Consider the following 27,207-nt stretch of genomic DNA (forward strand, 5'->3'; position numbering starts at 1 on the left):
CCCTCCTCCAGGTCCTCCATTGTTCTGTTACTTCAAAATGAAGAAAAATATGGAACTTTTCTGGCAGGAAGTTTCACTTAACTGTTCCAAGAAGGCGGTCTCAGGAGCAAAGCGTTGAGGCAAGATTTGCCTCTTACCAAAGATATTTCACTTTGAGAAATCTTGCACAGCTTTCTGAAGTCAAGCAGTATCAGGATGTGAAGAAAGCAAATAGGAAGGCGAAAGCCACGAAAATATCTTCGTACTTTCGCCCACCCACTTGTGTTGTCCTTTCCTCAAGAACTAGCGAAAGAAAAAAATATCCCCCTCGCCAGCCTGAACTACGGCGTCCTCTCTCTTCTGCATCTGCTGCCTTGTACCCGTCACTGTTAATGAACGTTGTAATTAATAGATCGCTCTCCTTGTCTCCTTAGCACTCTGGGCTAAGCACTTTCCTCAAGTCATCGTTTGAAAGAAAGCGGGTCGGCACTGACTTACAGCAGCCCTGTGAATTCCTTTTAATTTAGAGCACTTACACCACCACTTCACTTATTACCTTATAATTACTGGACTGTGGGCACATACATTATGATCTTAGACTAGAGTTAGAAGTTTTTAGGGTACTAAACCATGCTTGCTCCCCTTTCCTCTCTCCAGCACTGAATTTCCCACAGCTATGACAATTAACTCTTTCACCATCTGCCTACAAGGCACCGTTTTTTAATTTGGAATTTTTTTTTTCTTTTTTTTTTTTTTATCCAGAGGAGAGTTGCTTGGGGCTGCTTGATCTTCAGACCCTCTTTTTAAATTTTTTTTCCCTCTCTCTCTTTTCCTGTATCTTCCATGGTCACTTTCACCCCAATTTTCTTTTTTTCAGGCTCTTCCTCATGGACTTGCAAAATTTGCAGAACTCTTGATTTAAAGAACAAGGCCAGAAATTGCCCTCCCATTTATGGATCAGTTATTTGCTAAGCCATCAAATATTTATGTGTCAAATGCATGTTGTTAAAGTCCCTGAAAAATAGGGACTCTCCAGCAAGTTGTCTCATCGAAAATCTCAGTCCATAACTTGGCAATAGGCTGGATAAAACAAGGAAATTCGGGACGTACAAGCTGCCAGAAAGGTCCTTAAAACAGAAGCACTGTCTTCTCCTAAACAAGGTCTGGCCACTGGAGCCATACATGAAAGTGAACCAACTGGATTTGTGCTGTAGGTTGTACGTGTTTTTGGCCTGCCACGAACTGTTTCCTTAATTAATATCTTTTGCCCAGTGGAAATAATAAAAGTCAGAATTGCCATTTATCAAGTGCTTATTATGTGCCAGGCACTGAGCTGAGCACTTTACAAATATTACCTCATTGAATCCCCAAGATAACTTCGTAAGGGAGGTATTTCTCTTTAGGAAACCGAGCCTCAGACCTTTCAAAATTTGCTGAGGGTCATACAGCTAGGAAGCAGTACAGCCTGAATCTGAACTCAGGCCTGACTTCAAAGACCAGAGCAGAAATGTCTTGAAGACAACAGAGTTTTTAATGGTGTTTATTTACTCAATTTTAATAAATAAGCAAGCAAGCAAGGTAGAGGTGGCACGCAGAGATCTACTACTTTTATTTCTCAGCAATTATATCCACAGCCCACGCATAAGTGGAAAAGGGGTGAAGGGGCCACTGCGCTGGTTGGCTGGTTGCAGGTCTGCCCTACTGCATCACCCACCCAGGGTGTGCAGTGACACCTAAACAGAATCTCTGAACCAACACAGTTGTCTCCTAATTACTACTTAGCTCATTACACTGAACACTTCCTAGACACTATTATATTATAACCTAAAACTACAGCGAGTCTTAATTCTCTGCCTCTCTGTCTCTGAAATTCTACAGCTCTATTATTCAAGTCTGAAATATTCACAACTATCTATAAATTCAATTGTCAGCTGGTGGGTTTTATTCTAGACTTCACTTCAATCTAAAATTAGAGGCACTAAAATTCACATTAACTCTAAGAGGAATGTAGTGAATAGGACTTTATTTCAAAAGAACACCTTTTTGTCAGAAAGAGCCATTTTCAAAATGATGGCTTTATCTGTAGCCAAAGAGAATAAGCCCAATTCCACATTGTGCTGTTAATGCAGAAATTTTAAGTCACATTGGATTAATAAAAATCTAAATTTAGTTAAGAATTATGAATAGAAATAACATGTGTCGAAATATGTGGGAAATATTTATTTTAAAGCCTTAGTATGGTTACTATTATTATTTTAAGAGAAATGGTGAGATGAACAGGGAGCAAGACCAGCTAACTAACTCCCTTCCCAAAACCTCTGAATGAACCCCCTGAGAATAAACTAGAGGGGGAAATAACAATGTCAAGAATAACCTTTAGTTTCTATATGAGACACTAGGTTTTATTTTATTATTATTATACTTTAAGTTTTAGGGTACGTGTGCACAACATGCTGGTTTGTTACACATGTATACATGTGCCATGTTGGTGTGCTGCACCCATTAACTCGTCATTTACATTAGGTATATCTCCTAATGCTATCCCTCCCTGCTCCCCCCACCCGACAACAGGCCCCAGTGTGTGATGTTCCCCTTCCTGCATGAGACACTAGGTTTGAGGAATTTAACAGCCTACCTGAAATTTCAGGACTTTAAAAAGCATTTCAAAACAGTTTGAGATACAGCATCAAATAATTCTGATGATCATACTTCAACCTAGGATGTCATTTCCTAGCCCTGCTTAGGGTCAGCAAGGGTGAAAATTATCTTTGGCATTAGATACTAATGATCAGCCAAATAAAATGTCTTAGTTGTTTCACTATTTAAAGAAGTAATTTTTGAAAGTTAATTAATGGTGTGTATATGTGTGCACATAGAGAGAGTGAGAGAAAGAAAGAATAAGAATTAAAGTTGCTGCTGTGGGGGAGAAAAGGATAATCTGTAAGTTAATGTTCAATTTCTATTGTAATTATCAAGCTTAATTGTTTTCGGAGATTCTACCTACATCCAGGTAAATGTGTGATCGTGAATGAACCGTCAGGAGTTTGAATTCCCACATGCACGTGCTGATGTTCAAAGTGGTCTGCATTTCGATGGAAGGTCTGAAGCTCAGCCAGTGCTTGTATTTGTTAAACTCTGGAATAACAATAATGTTCCATAGGGTTATACATTATTAACCCTTTCACCGAAATACAAGTTCTTAACAAGCAGCTGTATTTCATCATGTGAATTTTACACAGATCTTGAATTCATTTGCTACTGTATTTCCACCCTAAAACAAATGGAGAAATAAATGGGAAAATGGGTGCATAAAATTCTCATAAGGAATGTGTGTACAGATCATCTTAGATCTTCTCATGTGTTATACTAAGGCAATATCTTCTGCAACTTTTACTATATCTATACCAATAGTAAACGCTTTGGTAGGCTAAATAAATGTCAATTAAAGAAGTTAACACAATTTCTATTCTTCTTTGTCATCCTTAAGGGCCTGGAAAGGTAATCATCATCATTATAAATTCCAAATGCTTTAAAAATTTATTTCCAATGTTTTTGTATAAGGACACAATGCAGCGAATCTCCAAGTTTACATACAAATACAGAGATAAGAAGAGTCCTCAGCTCCTCTGTGTGATTCATCAGAATCACAGAATTTCAGGGACAGAAAAGAAGGTTATCAAGTCCCACCACCTAATCACTACTGATTCAAAACAAAAATGAATCTATGGGGACTGGTTGATTTTCTACATTCTGAAATTACCAGATTAAATATTTAAGTATTTGTGTTTTAAAAAATAAAAAGCTCTTAATACTCTATAGTGTGTGTGTGTGTGTGTGTGTGTGTGTGTGTTTTATGCTTTTAGAAGAAAACCTCTAGACTAGTGTTGCAGCTCCCGGAGGTACAGGCTTCAGAGCCCATGACCCCAGCAGCTCCCATGGCAGCCTGAGTTACAACTTCAAGCACGCTACTTTACAATGAGCTTTTTTCCCCCCTGCTTCAACTAATTGCACTCTCGTAAAGTGGCAAAATGTGAATCACTTAGTAACAAAATGGGCACCAGCTGCTATTGTCAGAGAATGGTGATGCTGAAGAAAGGGAAAGCAACCGAATGAAGTGTCATGTCAGAAATCAACGGTGCAACGTGTGATTTGAGAAAACATGACTACTTTACAGAGACAGGGTGTCATTATGGCATCACAGTAATACGATGCTTTGACAACTGCTGGGTCTAACATATCATCATTGCATTAAGGTACACTGGCTTAGTTGGGAAAAGAAGAGAAAGGATTTTTTCTTTTAATAAGAAATATCTTAAGGTCTGCCTGGTTAACCTAACGGAAGGAGATCATTAATTGTAAAGAAAGAATTGTGAATCCTGACCCACACGCTCAGAAAGATAAAAACACATGGACAACTTATGCACACATACTTCTGTATAATTTTAAGGCCTCCTTTAATAAAAATTGAGCCCTATCTAATAGAATGGATTTCTGTATACCAGGATCAGAATGATTTAGATTTAGTAATGCTGCTTCTTGATTCTTTGAACAAATAACTTGTGCATTTAGTTCAAAAGACTCTCTCTAGCTTACTCCATGAAGAACAAGAGTAAGAAAACAGCTGCCCTCAAAGCTGGTGCCTGAGTTGCTGACAAGAGATAGAGCTATGTAATGTGGGGACATAGAGCCAGCCCCCTATAAAGAAAAATCAGAGCTGAAAGCTCTCCCAACTCTGTAAAAGGCTCTCTGCTGCAAGCAAAAAGGAAATTCAGTACAAGTAATCAAGACCTTCAACTCATTTCTGGCTGATCATCGAAATAAAAGTGTCCCATGCATTATAATTTCATACCTACTGACCAAACTCTTAACAGCAGGACCTCACTGAAACCCTATCTGCTTTTAGGGTTGTAGAGTTCAATGGTCCTTTCTCATTTAATTTTTTTCTAATATTAGGTTGGTCAACTATCCTGGTTTTAGTAGTAAAATCCCATGTCCTGGATACCCCTAAATCCGAGGTAAACCAGGATGGTTTGTCACTCAATCTGACATATAAAGATACCTGTAGAATCCTATGTCTTCACTCTTGCAAAATATAAGGGATTTTGAAATGGAGACAATTCATTTCTTGCAATGGAGGCCCAGAAATATGGCAAAAGAAATGCACTAATAAGATCGACTAAACTAATTAGGACTAGGGGTGTTGCAAGTATGTATGTAGTGTAAGTGTCTGTGGACACAGCAGCATCCCATTTTACTATGCTGTGCAAGCTGGAAGTGACTGCTGATTTCCTTAAGTCATCCAGACTATTTTAGATGTAGGAAATTGCAGTTGCTTCAATTTGTATTGCCAGGTGATTTCTTATGCTTCCTGGTTGATAAACTTTATTAATGGGAAAAGAAATGGTCCTGTGATATCACAATGTGTTGCACATTATGATTGTTGACAGTTTCTGTATTTAAGGATTCGATCTGATGCAGAGGCGCTTAGTAGTGCAACTTATCCTTAGCTTGTTTTCTTGGACCTATTTCAATCTGGGGGTGAGCATCTCTTGTTTATGGCTCTAAATACAGTAAGTGAGTTACTGACAAATCAATAAAACTGTTAAATGCATAATAATGCCGAGTAATTGCATACATGATGTTTTGCATAATTAACCATCTGAGCTTTTCTTTAATATAATGGGCACTCATGTAATATAGAGCAGCTATAAGTCTATAAAATATACACAGTTTATATGAACCGTGATTCTGCTTAAAACTCTGGCTAATCATCTACATCGGCTTTGAAGGGAGAGCTCTCCTCCACTGCCAAGTCCAAATCAATTCTTATGACATTACTTTATAACTAACATGATATTTAACTGATGATGGCTATTAGCTATTATACAGATTGCACTCAAAAACTGTAACAGTAGGGGGGAAATACCATTTAGTTTAAATAAACTTCTGCCATGTAATCAATATTATTGAGGCAAATTAAGTGTTTTAACAAGTGTGTATATTTGCCCTAATGCAGCTTAATTAACTATATCCTCACAACTGCTCAACTACATGACGCCAATGGATCCGAAGAGAGAATCTCGAAAACCTCCTAGACGGAAACAAACATGCACAGCAGATGGAAAAACAAGCATTTTGTCTCCAATCCCTGAAAATATTTCTTACTTTACACAAGTTACTCTTCTGCGAACCAAAAGCCTAAAGACTGAAGGGCTTTCGAACAGTGTGCTATAGTCAACCATTTGGGTAGTACATGTCCCAGTCTTGACCAGGTCACTATGCCCAGGGTAGAGTCTAACAGCCCTAGGCAATGGGTGGACACCACCACTAAAACAAAAGGTTTCTATGAGATTTTATAAAAAAAAAAAGTACCCAAGATAAATCATTAAAATGAAGCTTACAATATATGCTGAATGTAACATTTATTCAGTGTTAGAGGTTTACTATGCCATGAGCAGACCTCCTCTGCAGTAAGCTTTCTAGGGGAAAGCAATAGTCTCCTACTTCTACAAATCTCTGGTCTTTCAAACAGAAATATGGATCAATAAAGTTTGCTTGTGTTCAGACAATTCTGTTTTCAAGCAGTCAAGGAGCACACCAAAGAGAACTCGACACAGAAGGGGACTGACAGCTAAATGAAGACCTTCCCACAGCACCGCACTAGAGAAGAAATAAACAGACATTCAACTCATAGAAAGTCTATGCACTGATCTCTACAAATTACATTGAATATAGATGCTTTACTCACAGACGCTCCAGTGATGGAGTTCACAAATCAAATCGAGGTCAATGAAAGCTCAGGCTTCCTGAACTTCCCTTTCCTATTCTCTGCTATACTGAAAGAGGAAATGCAAATGCTATCACAAGTTGATATAAGGATATGGAGATCACAGTATTGATGTCATTCTTTACTCATTAAGATAATGTTTTGCAAAAGCAATTACAATGACCAATAAACCAGCTGCTTCTATAGACATAGATCAGTTCACCAGGAGTGGAACTCTAAAAGGTACTCTGCAACTGAGTGAATCACAGTGTTGAGAAAATCTAAATGCTAGGAAATCATTGTTGAAATAAAGGTTGCTTCAAGCACATATGAAAATTTCTGTGTTAGATGGAGATGTGCAGCACAATCAGAGATAATAAACCCCATCTGTTGGGTAGCAGTTAAACTATATTTATATTTTTACCTTAATAGCTTAGTCTGCAGTAGTTAACATCTGGATGTAAATGCAGCTGGTCTTGGGTGATCTATAGCAGAGGTGACATTATATTGTTGGTATCAGGTGTTGTCCAGCTGAAGTAGGAGAGTAGTGGGGAGACAGGGAGGAGGGGAACTCAGCTAATTATTAATCCTAAAAATTCCTCCTCTATCCTCTTTTTAAATAAACATTTCATCAAGCTAGTTACTTGAAGAGAACGTAAAGCTAAAATACACAAGCCACTATTTGCAGGCAAGGGAAAATAACATATATCTGCATATATATTTAATTCAAGCCATGGAAATGACTAAGGATTTATTTTGTAGCATGACAGGTATTGTTAACCAAAAAAAAAAAAAAAAAAAAAAAGAAAGGATTATTCAGCAGAAACATAGCATCCAGTGAAGCCAGTAGAAGCCACTGAAAAGCCAAGAGTTCAAATCAGGACCTGCTTGTCGTTTGTCACATTCAAAAGTCCAAATGCAAACATGCAGAGAAAAATTTCTAAATATAAAATGCCATTCTAAAAAATCAACTAAAAAAAAAGACTATACCAGGGTTTCTGCCGCTTGCTTTTCTTCTCTTCTCCTTTCCCAGGGAGCCCTGACTTCTTGTAGTATTCGACAGAGTAGGAGACATGGGTTCTAGCTCTGGATCCAGGCACTGTGTAACCTGAGGCAAGTCATTGTACCACCCTGACTCTCAGTTTTCTCATTTATAAAATGAGAGCATTTGCCTACGTGTTTCGTAAACAACTTCAGCCCTGTTTAAAAACCATATATTCTACTCAGATAAAAAACACACTGGCTTGTAAGTCTGGTTAGACCTTGAGAGCAAGGACTATTGCACCGAGGAGCACTCTTCAAACTCCCAAACTTCCATTTCCTTTGCTGCCACTGCACTGAGTCACCATTCAGGGACATGGCAGGGCCCGTGTGTGTGTGTGTGTGTGTCTGTGTGTGTGTGTGTGTGTGAAGTATATGTCTGTGTGTGTGTTGCAGGAGAATAATTAAGCAACTTGCTACATAACAATGAAACTGCAGCAACCACATTCAACTGAAGACTCACTCCCAGTGGGCTACAAAAAGACAGACAGAGACGTGATCATTTTAGGGGAGCTGGGGAATGGGACTCTTGGTTTTTTCCTAGAAATGGTTCTGCTTTTGCTCATTACGTTTTTGGTGGGAGGCGTTGGCGGAAGGGCAATTCCCTGCAATCAGTGTTTAAGTGAATGTTTGTCCCAGTGTGCGACACCACGCTGTCAGCAAGCAGCGGGGAGCTGTTGAGTTGTTACTACATTTGATTTGACTGCCAGTAGGAAGCTTCATTTCTACCAACTGTTAGTTGCTCGCTCAAAGAATCTTCTCTTCATTTTTGGAGTGATTTTTTCCCTCTCTTCTATTTACCATTCCTTGATATGTCGGAAGCCCAAATGCCACGTGGATTTGTAAGAGGAAACCTTAGTACTTGGCCCCTAAGCTTGTCAGATCTGAGAATCTGGATGCAAGGGATCCATGCAATTTGTTCAGTGCTCCTGGTCTCTCATTTAGCGTCTCCTACATCTGAAGATTGCATTTTAATTCAGAATCTCTAGACCACTCCAAGGTCAACACAGGCATGAAGTGGTTCTGCCACATTGTGGCCGTGTCTTTTTACATGGTGGGGTTTATTTTAGCCAACAGAACAGATATTTCTGCAGCCCTTATTAGGTGAAAATAAGTGTTGTCATTCACCTTTTTGTGAAATTTTGTTGAAATCAGTGCTAGTTTTGGTGATTGCTTCTGGCATTTAAAAAAATTTTTCTGATTTGGTAACTTTACTACATCACATCAAAGTCCTTCTCCTTAAAAATAATAACTTTGGTAATTAGGTGTCTCAAATAGTGCCTCTGACAACAACTTCTGACAATGAAAAGGATCTTTGGGAAAAAAAACAAAAGAATATGCATGGGTGAAAAGGGTGAGAAAAAAAGAAAAAAGAATCCCTGAGAGATATTATGAAAATTCAGGCTGAATGAAAAAGTAATTAACACTAAACAGCTAAAACTGTAATTAAGAAAAAAATTTCATTAAGAGAAAGCAGGCGAGCCTGCTTTTCTAAATATGACAAGGTGCTGTGTAAAAATAAAATAGAAGCAGGTTTCAGTGAGTGGAGCGGGAAAGCCATGTCTTTAACCAGATCAAATTCTCGAAATTGGCTGTCAAGACAGGATTGTTGTGATTTATACCCGTCTATCAAGTGCACGAACGAGAGACAGAGAGAACAGAGGCAAGCTGCTGTCGCTTCCATTCGCAAAGAACCTTTAATTTCCACAGCACCATCTGTTACCAAATCTAATTCACATTCCCCCTTAATCTGGTTTAGTTCCATAATACTAATTCTTCCCCAACCTTTATGAACACAAACCATACAAAAACAAAACAAAAATAAAACAACAAAAAACAAGGCTTTGGTTCTCAGTGAGTGAGAAATTGAATATTACAGAGTTAAGATGTTAAGGCTCTGGTGACTTATGTGAAGCAGGCTCTCTTCCATTAAAATGTATTCCTGGTAAGGGGATTTGTTTTCAGCCAATGCAGAGATATGAAATTGTTCATATTTGGGGTAAAAAAAAAAGATGATATAAAAGTAGGCCGGGGACATGAAAGCAGAGGTTGTCATAAAATACAATTTTTGTCAAGTTTAGTCACTTTCAGAACTGGCTATAAAATCACTTTGTCATCGCTTTCATACAGAGAAAAGCTGAAATTGTATTTTTGGTAAGGAAACTCGAGAGAGTGGTGTATATATTCAGAAAGAGTGGAGAAGGGTTGGTGGAAAAACCTAGGAGAAATAGAAATGGAAAACAATTATATATATCTTAAAATACAGAGATGCATATGGGTAAACACACATTAACTTCCCTCAATCTAAGATTCTATTAGCACATCCTTTTGATTCGCCATTGCTTCTACTCTTAGCCAATATAATAACTGGCATTCGCAATAATGAGTCTGCAGAACTATAAAATTAGAAAGTGCTTTCTGCATCAGAGAAAGATTAAACTATGCTCAGTAAAGATTTAGTGTTAAATGTATTTTATTGCTTTCCAAGTCTGTGGAAATTTGTTATCTCTAAAGGCAATAGTACATAAAGATCCACAGGCATCCATTACAAAATGCAAAAAAGGTACCATGTGAATACTGGGGTGAGTTTTGATTACACATTTAGTCAACTGGCTCACTACCTAAGTTTCCTATGACCATTACAGGAATTACCGTTTTGTTCTCTAACCCAGTATTATAGAACATCAGCCAGGTTACATAATATCATTCCCTTACTTTCAGAAATAATTGGAGAGACTGTGATATAAAATTTGTATTTATCACAGGCCTGATTATCATCCATAAATACATTTTTATAGAGAAGACTTTAACATGTAAAGTCCGTGGCTGAACTGGTAGTATCTTAATACATTTTTTTAAAATCCAAAATTTTGGGATTTTTTGGATTTTTAAAAATTTGGATTTCAACTATTAGAGGTAATAAAAGCCTGATTTTTAAGAGATATGGGAGATTATGAAAGAAGATAAACTGTTTTATAACACTGAAACAAACAAAAAACTTGAGACCTGAATAAATATGCCTACACACACAAACATATTATCTATACACTCCCTATAAAAACATCAATGGATGTCATAAACAAATATAACTGATTAAAGATTATACAGATGAAAAAACATAAGGTCAATAAGTAATGTGCTAATTCTGATATCTCTAAATTATAATATGTATTCCATAATTTTTAGAGTTCCTATTTCAGCTCCAAATTAAAGAAAATTTTCAGTTTTTCACACACATAAGAGAGGCTAAAATTCATAAGACCGACAACAATAAATGCTGAGGAAGATGTGCAGCAACTGAAAATCACATATGTTGCTGGGAGGGTATAAAATTGGAAAAAAAAGTTTGGAAGTTTCTAATAAAGTTAAATGGACACCATAACACAGCATTTCCACTCCTAGATATTCACTACAAGTGAAAACATATCCCCACAAAAAGAACTGCTTAGGAATGTGTATCACAGCTTTATTTATAATATAATATTAGCCCTAAGCTGAAAACAAATCAACTGTCCATCACTGATGAACAAATAAACAAATTATGAAATATATACCTGTGTGTGGTGTGTGTGTGTGTGTTTGCATGTGTGTGTGCTTAAACGAGTCCTAGTCAAAGATAAAAAGAAATGAACTGTGATAAATGCAATGACATGGCTAGATCTTAAAAACATCCTGGCCAAGTAAAACAAGCTAGATGCAAAAGAATATATACTGTAAAATTCTGTGATGTTCCAGAACAAGGAAAACTAATCATCATAATAGAAATCACAGTGGTTTTCTGGAGCAAGGAGTGAGGATTGCCTAGAGAGGAACATAGGGAAGCTGGTGGTTTTATGAATTATATGGGTCATATTTGTTAAACCCCATCTAACTGCACAGAAAATATGTCTTGTTGTAAACTGTATCTAAAAGGTAATCTAAAAAAAATTTTAAACAATGGGTTAAACATAATAACTATGCATTACCAGAAGTTTTCCTTGATTCCTATGCCCTGTACCAGATCGTAAATAACCAGATCTAGAATATTCTTTTATCAGTGCCTACTTCTACCTCTCATTTACACACAATGGACTAGGGAAGTGAGAGAACTTTAAAGGACTCCCAGAATTACAGGCAAAGCCCAGTTCAAAGTCCAGATTTCCATCTCTTAGGCCAGCTCTTTTCTTAACTAAGGCCTGCAGTGAAAAATATTTCACTGACTTGAATGATAAAATGCTTTTCATATTCTGTTTTTAAAAACTTATAAAATCCTTGCAACTGTAAACATAACATAAATGCATTTATGTGTATATTTTGGAAGAAAAGAAAGCTAACCTGCCTTCATTTGCCATTTTCTTCCCTCAAAATATGTCCAATAATAAAATGGCTTTAGGAAATCTGCAATGTGTGAGTAGTCACAATGTGTCAGTGTAAGCCAGTCAAGGTAGGCTTAAACATTTTCTTGGTTTCCTTTGGTTTGGCTTTGGCAATAAGGAAGTAGATGCTATAGAATATAGAATAAAGAAAAATGCAGGATTTAGGAAGTAGAAATAAGAAAAAGAGGATAGTCATTTGATTTTTTAAAATATGGTTAAGCTATAAGTATATACATACAAAGTAGAACGTATTAGGGAGAAAAATACCACATATGAAACCTGACTAGGTAAAATGATACATTTCAAAAGAAATGTATAATTTCTAAGAGGCTACCAGGTAAGAAAACTTGCATAGCAACTGGAATAAATTTAAAAATTATTTTATCACCAATTTGCCAAATGCTTCTGATGTAGTAACACCTAGATGACTTTCCTTAGCAGGAAAGGAAATAAATCATAGAGCACATTTCTTGCCTTCTTTAACTTTCACACACACAAAGGTTACAGCATTTAGTATTAAGGAGAAACGACATAATTATACAGCTAATTCATGTTTTCCTGAAAAGGGGTTTCTGTAGAATAATAAAACTGTATATCCCTGAAGACAAATCTGGCCAAGTTCACCATCCATCCCTTTCAATGGCTTCACACATGCTACAGGATACCAGGTCTTTTAATCTGGGTGTCCAGACCTGGCCTTCCCTGAGCTGACCTGGCCTTACTCTTCAACCTCAGCCTTGTATCTTAAACTATCATGCATCATGTAACAACACGTCAGTCAACAACAGGTCACAAATACGACACTGGTCCTGTAAAATTATAATGGAGCTGAAAAATTCCTATCACTTAGTGACGTCACAGTGAAATGTATTACTCACATGTTTTTGGTGATGCTGGTGTAAACAAACACATTGCACTGCCAGTCATATAAAAGTATAGCACATATAATTATGTACAGTATGTTGTACTGATAATGATAATAGATTACTACTTTACTGGTTTATGTATTTACTATACTTTTTAATCATTATTTTAGAGTGTACTCCTTCTACTTATTAAAAAATTTTTTTTAAAAATTTACTTGTAAAACAGCCTCAGGCAGGTCCTTCAGGAGGTATTTCAGGAGAAGGCATTGTTGTCATAGGAGATGAAAGCTTCATGCATGCTACCGCCCTGAAGACCTTCCAGTAGGACTCGATGTGGAGGTGGAAAACAGTGATGTGGATACTCCTGACCCTGTGTAGGCCTAGGCTAGTGTATGTGTGTGTGTGTGTGTGTGTGTGTGTGTGTGTGTCTAGATTTTAACAAAAGAGTTTAACAAGTAAAAAAAAAATCTGAAAAATAGAAAAAACCTTATAGAGTAAGAATATTAAGAAAAAAAGTACAACTGTACATGTTTGTGTTCAAAGCTAAGTGTTATGATAAAAAGAGTCAAAAAGTTGTTTAACATTTTAGCAGTTTATATAAAATCAAAAAGTTACAGTAAGCTAGGGCTAATTTACCAGTGAACAAAGAAAATTTTTAAATAAATGTACTGTCACCTAAGTGTAGAGTGTTTATAAAGTCTACAGTAGGATACAGTAATGTCCTAGGCCTTCACATTCACTCACCATTTACTCACTGACTCACCCAGGGCAATTTCCAGCCCTGTAAGCTCCAGTCATGCTCAGTGTCCTCTAAAAGTGTACCATTTTTTATCCTTTTTACTATATTTTTACTGTACCTTATGTAGATACACAAATACTTACCATTATGTAACAATTGCCTACATTATTCAGCACAGAAACATGCTGTACACATTTGTAGCCTCTAGGTTATATGACATAGCCTAGGTGTGTAGGGGGCTATATGATCTAGGTTGGTGTAAATACACTCTTGGATGTTCACGTAAGGAAACTGCCTAACAAGAAATTTCCCAGAACATATCCTTGTTGATAAGTAACACATGGCTGTATACATGCAATGCTTAACGCTTTGTAAGTCCCCATGCTAATCAGCTTTTCACACTGCTTTTCCTTCTCTCTGGAATTCAACTTCCTTGCCCTTGGCAACACTTTCTGCGCAACTTCTATTCATCAGTAAAAGTACAATTCGGTTATTATTTCCTCAGCAAGTCTTTCCTGGCACTCCTTCCTTTAGGCTCATAATACTATGAGCCTATTTCTATAATTACAGTTAACATCTTTTTTTGTGTGTGTAATTTAAAATTTTTTGGTGTGTGTAATTAAAAAAATTTTTTATGTGTGTAATTAAAGAAAAATAGGGATGGGGTCTTGCGATGTTGGCCAGGTTGGTCTTGAACTCTTGGCCTCAAGCAATCCTCTTGTCTTGGCCTCCCAAAGTGCAAGGATTAGAGGCATGAGTCACCACATCCAGTTTTAACATCCTTTTTAATGTGCAGTTGTCCCTCAGTATCCATGGGGGATTCATTCTAGGACCCCCGTCAGATACCAAAGTCTACAGATGCTCAAGTCCCATATATAAATTGATGTAGTATTTGAATACAACCTATGCACATCTTCCCATATACTTTAAATCATCTCTGGATTATTCGTAATACCTAATACAACGTAAATGCTACGTAAATAGTTGTTATACTGTATTGTTTAGGGAATAATGGCAATTAAAAAGTCTGTACATGTTCAGTGCAGATACAATCATACTTTTTTTCTAATATTTTTTATCTGCAGTTGGTCAAATCCACAGATGCAGAGCCCACAGACATGGAGAAATGACTGTACAAACTTATGTTTCCATCCTTCCTCTATGAATTAATTGTTTTATACTTCTATTTAACCCTGTTCCTGGGTTGTTGAGTAAATGAACAAACCATGAATTCACACACAAAAAAAGTTGTGGACTTTAAATGTTGGATCACACATTTCCTAAATAAAAGTGTTGTTCATACAATCTCAAGAATCTGTGAAATAAAGCATTAAGCATAGAAAAACAATTTTGTGGAAGACAAAACAAAACAAAACCCAAAAACCTGCTGTGTGAAGTAGTAAAATGATTATAAGATTTTTAACTGGAAGGCCTGGTTTTGAGTTCACCAGCACTGTCATTTGCTAAAGGTAAACTCTGACATGGTATCTACAAGACTTGGTTGCTAAAGCTGTTAAATGGAAGGTATATCTCATTGTGAATGTTAAGAAGATTAAATAAAAATTATTTGCATTAAATCAGAAGGATATCATTGAGCAAGGAAGAAAAATACCATTTTAGGGTGAAGGAGGATGATCCCCAAAGTGAGAAAGCAGGGAGTAGTCTCAGAGAATGTAGGAGGGGGTGGTGCTGAAGAATACTGTAGGGGATATGGAATCAGAAATGGGTTCAGAAGTCCATTGGGGCCAGATTGCAGAAGATTTGAAATATCACACTACCTAGATTAGATGTCACTTTGTAGGTAATGGGAAGCTACTGAAGGTAACTAAGGAGAAAAAAGAAATCAGCCAGTTTGTGTTTCTTTTCTTTTTTCTTTTTCTTATCTTTTCTTTTTTATTTTATTTTATTTTATTTTTTTGACACAGTCTCGATCTGTCACCCAGGCTGGAGTGCAGTGGCGTGATCAGAGCTTACTGAAGCCTCTTGACCTTCTGGGCTCAAGTGATCCTCCTGCCTCAGCCCCGAGTACCAGGGATTACAGGTGCGTGCCACCACACCTGGCTAATTTTTCTTTTTTAAATAGAGACAGGATTTTGCCATATTGCCCAGGCTGGTCCTGAACTCCTGGACTCAAGTAATCCACCCACCTCGGTCTCTCCCAAAGTGTTGGGATTACAGGCATGAGCCACTGCACCTGGCCCATTTTTTGTTTCTGTTAAACACTGTTTTGGCTCCAGCATTTTCCATGTATTCACTCATTCATTCCTATCATGTTTTAAGCCTATAACCTGGTAAACAAAACAGACCACATCTTTGAACTCGGTGTTTACAGCCCAACTATGAAGCTATTATATTATCTTCATTTATAATGAAGATAAATCATGAGGAAAAGGCCTGAACTAAGATGGTGGAAAAGAGAATGAAAAGAAAGGAGATGAATATTATGGGAATCATCGGAGGAGGTTTTTGCACTCCTAGTATTCTACAAATAATATATAATAATTAGTCAAGCTACAATTTCTTTGACAAAGTACGATTTTTAATATATTATATAATATAAAAACAAATTAATGCTTTGTCATGGAGCTGATCATTTTCTTGAACTGTGGAAGTGGTTACAAAAATCTCATATGTGATAAAATTATGTAGAACTAAACACACACACACACACACAAATGAATATGAGTAAAACTGGTGCTATCTGAGAAGTCCATGAACTGCAATTACCTGGTTGTAATATTATACAATAGTTATGCAAATAGTTACAACTGAAGGAAACTGGGTAAACAGGATTTTATGATTTCATACAACTTCATGTGAGTCTATAATTATCTCAAAATAAAAAGTTTTTTAATTAACATTTTCCTTGAGGGCTAGACTATAGATCATATTTGACTTTGTATCCCCAGTACTTCATGTTATGCTGAGTTCATGTCAGCTACTTAATAAATGTGTCACTTAAGAGACGTTTGTTGAATAAGTAAATGAATGAATTACAAAGCATCACATCAAATAAACACATCATCTCTGTTTACTAATGTTATGAACCTGATCTTATGAGTTTCTATGTCTGAAATATATGTTTATGGCATTAGTTTAAATAATAGAATCATGAGTATCTGATTCTAGATACCATGAAGTCAAGATCATGAAGATTTCACCAGTGTGAAAAGGTGGTTAGCATGGGGACTCACAAAGCATTAAGCATTGCATGTATACAGCCATGTGTTATTTATCAACAAGGATATGTTCTGGGAAAGTTACTGTTAGGCAATTTCCTTATGAGAACATCCTAAAGTGTATTTACACCAACCTAGATCGTTGAAGATGCTGGCATAGATGCTTGGATGATTCTCTCTTCTGCCACCACATCTCACAGTGTATGGTGAATTCTCAAAATAATGTTCTTAAGAAATACTGATATAATTTTATATGTCCCAAAAAGATATATGGAAAGTTTGTTCTTTTTCTTTTCTCTGAGGGAAAAAAATTACAACCCTACTGGTTCTCAAGACAACCTTGTAAGATGAGTGTTATCTCCATTTTACAGATGAGGAAAGAAAGCTGTAGTTGAACCAGAAACAAACTTAAATTTTCTGTTGAAATCCTTCACTCTGCACTACAAAATGCTGTACCTCAAAGATTTAATATCAATATTTTATAGCAGCCAACTTAATATGTCAACTGTAGACATACGTATGTTTAACACTTTAATCTTCTAAAGATTTTTTTATTCTTTAATTTTCTTAAACAACTGTATACTCAGTAAGTGCCATGATGTACCTGTCTTGACTATTTGACCCCAAAATAACAAAACTGTGACCAAATTAAAATAAAAACAAAAAAGGTAACTTAGTCCTTCATAAATGCCCAAGAACAAAGAATAATAGTGTTGAAAAGTCAAAATTACAGAGCAACTTAAAAAATACTAAGATTATTTATATCATAGGATAATAAAACATACTAAGATTATTTATATCATAGTTACTCCCTAATTGGTACAGAATTAGAGTCTTCTAATAAGGAGAAGCTGACTTATTTCACACCATGGAAAACTGGAGCTAGATATTAGAACTTCCTGGCCAAATAGTTGCTGTCATTAATTAACTGTATTAAAATGTATAATTAATATAAATTAATTAACTCACTGTGCCTCAGTCATCTGTTAAATAAAATGGGGTACTAATACCTATCCTATCTAATGTACAGAAATGTTGAGACTCACAAGATAAAATAGGTATCAAATCTTTTGAAAAGCTTAAAGCATTATGCAAAATTAAAGTACTACTACAAATTTGTAGAATAAAATATCTTTTTTTTTTTTTGAGACAGAGTCTCACTCTGTTGCCCGGGCCAGAGTGCAGTGGCATGATCCTGGCTCACTGCAACATCCACCTCCCGGGTTCAAGTGATTCTCATGCCTCAGCCTCCCAACTAGCTGGGACTACAGGCGTGCACCACCATGCCTGGCTAATTTTTGTATTTTTAGTAGAGACAGGGTTTCTCCATGTTGGCCAGGCTGATCTCAAACTCCTGACCTCAAGTGATCCACCCGCCTTGGCCTCCCAAAGTGCTGGAATTACAAGCGTGAGCCACTGCACCTGGCCCCAAATATCATGTTTAATTTTTGGAATAATCAAGTATTAAAATCTGCATCTGATTTTGTAATACAAATCCAAACTTACCTGGAATACTCACAAAAAGTTATTCAATTTGTGAGATTTGTTGTGATTTGTGTTTGTTTAAGCACTTTAGTAATGTAGTCTGAGTTTTACCAATCTTTCATCAATTTACACAATGTTATACCAAATGATTTCCTTAATTCTCAGTACCTGAGATTAAGAGGTTATGCTAGGTGTTTATAGCAGTTTTAATTCAGTCAACACACAGATCTTCTATGAGTATCTTTGAAGCACAAGGCATGGTGCTAGCTGTGATAATGAGGTCTTTTTCCAAAGGAAAATGTGGTGAATTTCAGGGAAGGTCAAAATAGCCATGCTAAGAATTAAGGTTGTGTGGAAGTTATGCAAGAAACTAACGAGGTTAGAGCCCTCCATCAGATTCCATGTGGATAACAATTAATTTAACACAGGTCAGGGGAAAATGTGGAGACAACTTCTAAAACTGCTTAGCTACATTCAACCATCTTAGCCACTAAACACAAGGAAAATAAGACAAGATCAAGATAGTGTGAAACCTATCTGTCACTACTTCTGGAAATAAAAATGACTACTATGAATAAAGGCATAGTCTCAACCAAGAGCCATGGAAACTTCTCTGTGGAGTTCCTTTAACAATCCACGGTATGAACACTTCTCAGCCTCAGTAGCTGCTGGCCACACCCTAGAGACTTAAGCCCCTGTCCCCTCCGTTTGCCCCTAAGATGTTGACAGTTCATCTGTTCAGTTTCCAGAAGGGAATTAGACATGGCAGGGATATTTATTGTTCTTATCCAATGCTCAGTAGGAATTATTGAGGGAAAACGGGAAAGGAAAAATTAGTGCAATCCATCTCATGAAACACTTGGCCAATGTTACATATTAGCTAACTAGTTAGATGTATAAGATTGCAAGTTTTGGCGGGGCGCGGTGGCTCACGCCTGTAATCCCAGCACTTTGGGAGGCCGAGGCAGGTGGATCACGAAGTCAGGAGATCGAGACCATCCTGGCTAACATGGTGAAACCCTGTCTGTACTAAAAATACAAAAAAAATTATCCGGGCGTGGTGGGGGGCGCCTGTAGTCCCAGCTACTCGGGAAGCTGAAGCAGGAGAACGGCGTGAACCCGGGAGGCGGAGCTTGCAGTGAGCCGAGATCACGCCACTGCACTCCAGCCTGGGCGACTGAGCAAGACTCAGTCTCAAAAAAAAAAAAAAAAAAAAAAATTTGCAAGTTTCCTCCTGGAGCACATAGGTCCCCATGCAAACTCTGCTCATAACTAAGCCTCTTTTTTTATGGGAAAATCACAAACCAAACAGTAAGCAACGGTGAGTATAGAGGCATTAACTTTTCAGATTAAAAAAACAATATGATGGTTTCGATAGTAAGAAATAAACTAACGGGGTGTCAGAGAAAGAAATGGAAATGAAGTAAGGAGTTTGGTTTCATCACTTCAGAAACCTCTATCGAAGAGATGCCTCTCTCCAGTGTCTAAGGAACCAAAGCGTCTGTGCCTCAGGTAACTGAGCTTTAGGAAAAACAATCTCTTGAAAAATGGCGACTTTCATCCTAGCCTACGCCCACATGTACATATTTCTCTCCACTCTCCAAATTTTGGCTGACAGATTAGCCAGTTCAGGTTATAATGCTGACTGATGTTGTGAACTTTATTCATTCATCTATCTTTCTATCCCTGGAACCTCACGAGGCTGAGGGCTGCGTGCTGAGGCCATCGCCAGCACGTACATAAGGTCATCTGCTTATTTACCTGCATTGCTGTATCAAATATGCTGTCACATTTAAACTATAGAGCTACTAAAATATCTGCCACAAGAAAACAAATAATGATAGCCAAATGATGGTGTGTGATTGGTTGATTGTACTGAGTACAGGGGGTTGTTACCTAGTAGTTTTATTAAATATGAAAGCAAAAGATTTATATTATGGGTGATAAGGGCAAGAATGCTGTAAAAGTGAGAAAATATGGCAACAGTGTGCTGTACATCACCAATGGGATAACTATTTATCTAAAAAGTTGGCATTCTTAGACTTCCAACATGCAGTGTATGAAATTCATATATTCAAAGGAGACATCATAATAACCTGCCGGCTGGTAATGATGGATATGTTTTTAAACCAAATGACCACAATCTTCAGTCTACCTGTCATGGAGGGCCAGAAAAAAATGGAATTTTCTTTTCATAACTCTTGATGTTGAAAGAGGAAAAACCTGGAAGAATGATAAGTGGCTCATTCCAATGGACAAATGGACATGGAGCTGAGAGAATGGGTGTGAATAAGTCATTGTTCCTTAACTAATGCCATTTTCACTTGTTACACTGAAAAAAAAAATGGAACGAGGGATGATTTCTGCCCCCTTCATGTCTAAAATGCAGGAGTTCAAACTGCAACAAAAGCTGGAAAACCTTCAACACCATGTGAGTTAATTTACAAATTACCTCTTGCTGAAAAAGTCAGGGAGAGGCTGGCATAATATTTGTCTATTAACTAAAACTTATTGTACAAACACAGCAAGAAGAGTGATGCTGTAGAGCTTTATTGACTAGAAAGCCTCGCCTATGGATTTCCTCCTTTGAGGTTTAAAGGAATTCCTATTTCTCATTTACAGTCTATCAGAAAAGGTATATGACCTGCATTTTTTAATTTATATAAATCCACTCAGTCAATCAGCCTGGGCTGAAATTTAATGGATGTATCAGTCATCGTTGGTCCAGAGAGAGAGAACGAAGCACCAACATCTACTACCTCATCTCCGCTGCTTCTATTATACTCCCCGCAGCCCCGCACCTTTTTTTTTTTAACCTCACTAGCTTAGATACCTCGCTTAACTATTAAGCGGGGAGTCTTGCAAAGTTGTTGCTTTTAAAGAGGGAAGTCTGAGTAAAAATGAGCTGATGGAAATATAGGAAGACTCTGGCTATTTTCACTTTTAAAAAACTTCATTTTCCCACCTGTATCATGGCAATATTATCACACATTCAGCAAATATACAGTAGCAAGATGTTTCCGTGACAAATTAAGTACTTTCTAAGCATTTTATCAGATAAATAAAACATCACCACAGGATGATAAAATCAGCTCATTCAGTTGATTTAACCTGTCCTTCAAGAAACTCACCTGAAATAGATTAAGGACCACCTCTCAGACACACACATACACAAACACACACACTTACGCACTCATTTGCTCACTCTTAAACATATAAGCTGGACTCTCGTACTACTGGTAACAAGGTTCGTAAAGGCCTCCTAACATCAGAGCCAGATAGTACTGTTTACTGGATTAGTATGAAAGATGGTATTCCTATGCATTTCAAAAGATAGGAGAAACTGAAGATGAGAACCTCTTCAAATATCTTTAATCTCAGTGTAATCTGCTAGAGTCTACACTTTCTCCTTTAGTACCCTTAGTAGGTGACTTATAGTTTTATTTTGACATTTCCTTTAATATCAGAAAATATTATATTTTCATAGTCGTATTCTTACCCTAACACTCTAGGCAGAGAAGAAACCAGTGAGTGGTTAGGTTTCTGTCTTTACTTTGCTTTCCCCCTTTGCTAATTTCAGAAAGTGAATCCAGCAATTATAAGTAGTGTGAGGCTGATAAGGAGTCACACATGCAAAAGAAATAGGTTCAATTCAAGCTTCCCTGACTAATCCTTATTATGACTCATTTCGACTTCAGAATTTGTCGGTTGAGGTAAGAAGCTAATTTGGCTTTGAGAAGTAAAATCTCAGTTTTGTACTTTCCTTCTAGTGCTATTAACAACCCCATTATTAAGAGCAAGTTTGCGGAGTTTGGGGGGGGTATGAAATATTTATTGAGTGCCTGCTTTTGCCAAGCATTTTTTGCATGCTATTTTATGAAATCGCTAGACTTAACATCCTTTAAGCAGTAGCATAAATTTCTCTGGCTTTCAAACTCATAGTCTGCACCACACTATCTTGCTTCCCAAAATAAAGTGCATTATTTTTAAAACCTGCACCCAATATCATCCTTACTGTATGACCCTGAGATTAACAGTCTGACATTCTGTGAGATCCTGTCAGGAAACGGTAGCAGAAAGGACCTGATAGATTTCTCTTAACTGCTTCGTTCCTCTATGCACAGATGCTGCTCCTTCTGTTTGCATTCATCAGCAGACCTGTCTCCTCTCTCGCCAGGGGTTCTCTCCTGCAAATACAACTAGGTTTTAATCTATATGTTTTAAGAAAACAAAGGAATCTGGCATTATGCCTGGACCAGCTGTGACATCCCAAAACAAAAGATCACCAGGCCATGCTGACTGTCTTCAGTGCTTAAGTAAATACCACCCTATTTATTAGCCTTGCTTTGGGGAAACCCCAAATGGTCACCTTACCTCCTGACTTATGAATCCATAAAAATGCCCATGATTTATTATTGCATCTCCCTTCTTCCCTATGAATTTGATAATGAAGTTCTTTATGGGAGGCTATTAAGAAGCAACATGGATGCTACTATTTGCTACTTATCCCATATAATTAAAAACACCATAACTGCTATTAGAGAGCAGTATTTAAAGTAGCCAGACTATCATAAATATGGCTGATTTGACTAAACTGTCAATGGCAAATTTCAAGAAGAACCACTAAAAGGAGATTTACTTTTGAAATATATATTACAAAAAGGCTTTTATTCACATTTGTTTTATTTATGTTTTGGTTCTAATGAAATCACTAGACTTACCAATTTGCTAGATAATTATAAAGTCAGAATTCTTAAAAGCAAGTAGTTATCGCTAATTAATTTTCTTCTGGGTATCTCCTTGACAAATTATAATATCTCCCTTTTAAAATTTCTTACATATAGTTAGACCATAGCTTTCTTTAAAAGGTGACATTTATTCCTTTAAATAACACCTTTGATGAAAACGCTGATCAAATAAAAATAAAATTAACATCCAGATTATAGATTCTCTAGTCTTATGAGAGAGGGTGAAGAAAGAAATCTATAAGAGGCCAAAAAGAGACATTCACAGCCAGTAGGCTGTGCTGATTCATGCTCATTTACTAAGTTTCAGTTCCCATTTTATGAAAATAAACCCACTCTAGACTTCCCCCAACAAAACAAATACATGTTTTATGTGATCTTAGGATAAAGTAAGTTATTAGATATTACAGGCAAGCCAGGTGTGGTGGCTCATGCCTGTAATCCCTGCACTTTGGGAGGCCGAGATGGGTGGATCACTTGAGGTCAGGAGTTCGAGACCAGCCTGGCCAACATGGCAAAACCCCATCTTTACTAAAAATACAAAAAAAAAAAAAAGAAAATTAGCCAGGCATGGTGGCATATGCCTGTAATCCCAGCTACTCGAGAAGCTGAGGCAGCAGAATCGCTTGAACCCAGGGAAGCGGGGTTGCAGTGAGCCGAGATCACGCCACTGCACTCCAGCCTGGGAAACAGAGCAAGACTCTGCCTCAAAAAAAAAAAAAAAAAAAGATATTCCAGGCAAAGTTGACTCAAGCACATGAGTTGGTGAAATCATGTACATGTGAATTATTCTAGTATTCTAGTCCTGTCCATATTCGATCAGAGAAATTCTAATACCCTAACAGCAGAATAAAAAAGGAAAGAAAAGAGTGCTCAGGAGGATTCTTGCCAGTATATCTTAAATTTTAAAAAAATAATAATAAATCAGCACTGTGAGTTGTGGTGAATACAAACCAATCAAGGCAATGAGAAAAAAGCTTAAGTATTCTTGTATAGATGCAGTTAAAAGATTTTTTAAACATTTAATTACTTTGTTTATCTAAGGAGTCTCAAGATATCTATAGAAGTTCCCTGAAGTTGTCAAATAAATACTGAGCCAACTACTGTTCTTGCAGTTAACCAACAACTAACATGTGCAGGGGTGTCCAAGCTTTTGGCTTTCCTGGGTCACATAGGAAAAAGAATTGTCTTGGGCCACATATGAAATACACTAACACTATGATAACTGATGATCTTTAAAAAAAAATCACACATAAAAATCTTATAATGTTTTAAGAAAGTTTACTCATCTGTGTTGGGCCGCATTCAAAGCCGTCCTGGGCCATATGTTGGAAAAGCTTGATAAAGGTTACCTTTAATTAAGTTTTGTCTCTGTCAACTTTGTCCTTCTTTGCCTGTCTAGAGTAGCAAACAGTGTTCCAGTGACTCTGTGAGAAGTAGCCTGATTTTCAGGAAAAGGTAATTTAAGAATAAGTGAAGGTCTTTGTTACTAATTCTGTATAAATGTAATTTTTTTTTTGCTTTTTTTTTTAAGTGCAAGGAAAAAATAGACAATGGCTTTTTTTAATGGCATGTTTTCAAAGCTGGATAGATGTGTGTGTGTGTGTGTGTGTGTGTATGTTTGTGTGTGTATGTTTCTGTGTGTTTGTGTGTGTGCAGGAGTGGGATTTTTGTTGAATGTGGGGGTGGGAAGAGAGAGAGCTGGGATGCCAAAGGAGGAAGTGTAGAGCCAAAAAAGAATGGGTGAATGGGGGATAAACTTCAGTCTTGCCTAACTCACCTGAATTTTATTGACGGCCCTTAAATTTTACAGAGTTGCTTGATGTAAGGAAAATATCTCATTTTATTTGGTGCTGGAAAATGGTTTTAAATGCAGGTAAAAAGGAATCAATCACCTCAAAGACTTTTTGGGAAAAGGCTGGGTATAAATAAATTTTCTTGAAGTAAAAAGTATTGAAAAAATATAAAAAGGATTACTGGTTACCTTTTGAGTTAGCAATGTGATTCATTTTCATGTGTGTTCCGTTCCCCATATAGACCTTGCTTATTTAAATGAAGGCTAGCACTTCACTGGCTCAAAAAAAGCAGATCTTTTAAATTTACTTTGGAACTGAATTGAGTCAAGTGGGATACTGTTAACTAACCCTAAACATCTAGTAAATTCGGCTGGGCGCGGTGGCTCACGCTTGTAATCCCAACACTTTGGAAGGCCGAGGCGGGTGGATCACCTGAGGTCAGGCGTTCAAGACCAGCCTGGCCAACATGGTGAAACCCTATCTCTACTAAAAATACAAAAAAATTTAGCTAGGCATGGTGGTGGGCACCTGTAATCCCAGCTAGTTGGGAGACTGAGGCAGGAGAATCGTTTGAACCCAGGAGGCAGAGGTTGCAGTGAGCCAAGATCATGCCATTGCACTCCAGCCTGGGAGACAAGAGCAAAACTCTGTCTCTCTCCAAAATAAGAGGAAGAAGGAGAAGAAAAAAAGATCTAGTAAATTCTAAAGTGTAAAACATCACATGCCTTTCTGTACATATGGAGCCAGAGGAAATATTAAAAAAAAATTCTCTTTTCATGACTTTATCATAGGTACTCAGTTAACAAATAAGATATAATAAGATATAATCACTAGATATAACATATAATATTATCCACACGTATATGTCTATGTTAATCTATAATGTAAAAATTGGAGGAGTAGATTTTTTTTAAATCATAATTTAAATAAAACCCCCTACCCACAGCCCAAAATGATACTGTGTTCTGAATGATTCTGAGGAAGAAAAATAGGAAAATTTGATTCAAGTCTGGAAGCTACCAATTCCATTCACAGTTCTAAACTTTGATTTACAATTTATAATCATTTTTATATAAATTAGCTCTTCCTAGTCCACAATGACACTACAGCTTTGTAAACTTATCTTGTTAGATACAAAAGATACCAGTAAGTCTTTAAAAATAGTATGTTTAAACTTTCCTGATTGCAACAGTGTCTATTTCAGTATAAATGACTTGTTTGACTCTAGTTTACAATCGCTTTAAGTATTTCTTTTTTGGGCTAATCAAGTAGGTACCTGTCCATGTGGTTTATCTAGGCACAAAACACACAGTTACATAGAGATTTACACGTTTTAAGACTTTCATTTAATAGTTAGTATATATTAATATATATGCAAAATCCAAAACAATGCTTTGTACATGGTAGCCAACTAAAATATTCTGAATGGCCACATAAACGAATATAATTGACATAGAAATTATTTTCTATTTTTTTATATCTAGTAAGGAAAAAAAGGACACAATCTGTGTAAATTATTCACTAAAAAGTCAAATGTGTTATCCCCACTATAAAAAAATCTGTTTCCAAAAGGACACACAGTTGTTTTATTTTGCTAAATCAATACCCAAAAATATTACTTTTCTTCAGTTACACTTCCGTTGAAAGTCCCAAAGATTCCCTACCTGGAATTGCCCATATTTGAAGTGCAAAACAGGCTGAGCATTATCTAAATCTAGATAAAACTCATTGGTTTGTAATCTGCACAATGATCTATACATCTAAATCTATATGCAAATCGAATGCTTTCATGCATTAAAGCATTCCAAAGCACCCAGGACCAAGGGAGCAGCAGGTTCTTTCAGATCCTTCCCCTGTTACTCTTCTTCTTTCCTTCTATTTATTTATACTAGCTACCTAAATAATTCACACTGCCTGCTTTTCAGCCCGAATGTTCCTCAGAAGAGGCCTACAATGAGCTATTGCAGTCACCAGATGGACTCATGAATGCAGCAGGTGGGGCAGATGGCAAGGCGCCCTGTCTGATGCTGCCTGCCTGGGCATGGACTGCCTTTTCCTTCCAGGTACATTATCATCATCCTAACACTGAGCGGTGTGTAGTTTGGGGGTGGGGTGGAAGTGGGGCATTGGCAAATCCTTTACATGCAATACTAGAGAAATCATAAATTACCAGCTGCCCTCTTCCTCCTCGTCCCCCACCCCCAGCAACCCCTGATGTTTCATGTTGTTGCTTTGTTAGTGAGTTTGTCTTTTTTA

At 37.0% G+C, this 27,207-nt stretch overlaps 1 protein-coding gene across 56 annotated transcripts in view, besides 1 other annotated feature; it reads right to left on the reverse strand.

Moving 5' to 3' along the window:
- Positions 1-27,207, reverse strand: part of ESRRG (estrogen related receptor gamma) — a 634,457-nt gene that overhangs the window by 175,667 nt on the left and 431,583 nt on the right. For 4 of the 56 annotated variants that reach the window (XM_047449392.1, XM_047449391.1, XM_011509271.3 and 1 more), the window contains one exon: positions 2,984-3,114. The exons of 49 other annotated variants lie outside the window; for them this stretch is intronic. In XM_047449392.1, coding sequence (XP_047305348.1) covers positions 2,984-2,985 — 2 coding nt within the window. In that variant the 5' untranslated portion in view covers positions 2,986-3,114. Of the gene's footprint in view, positions 1-2,983; positions 3,115-7,169; positions 13,176-22,512; positions 22,598-27,207 lie in introns of those variants that run through there. 3 more of the 56 variants (XM_047449393.1, XM_047449390.1, XM_047449401.1) reach the window with 3 other exon arrangements.
- Positions 2,116-2,285: an enhancer, noted in NCBI's record as "experimental_4384 CRE fragment used in MPRA reporter constructs". NCBI's record gives its function as "activates a minimal promoter by MPRAs in K562 erythroleukemia cells, with activity observed for the non-introgressed 1:216854455 variant allele {active_cell/tissue: K562}" and the evidence as "EXISTENCE:reporter gene assay evidence [ECO:0000049][PMID:34662402]".

This window comes from Homo sapiens, chromosome 1 (genome assembly GCF_000001405.40).
Source record: "Homo sapiens chromosome 1, GRCh38.p14 Primary Assembly".
NCBI lineage: Eukaryota > Metazoa > Chordata > Mammalia > Primates > Hominidae > Homo > Homo sapiens.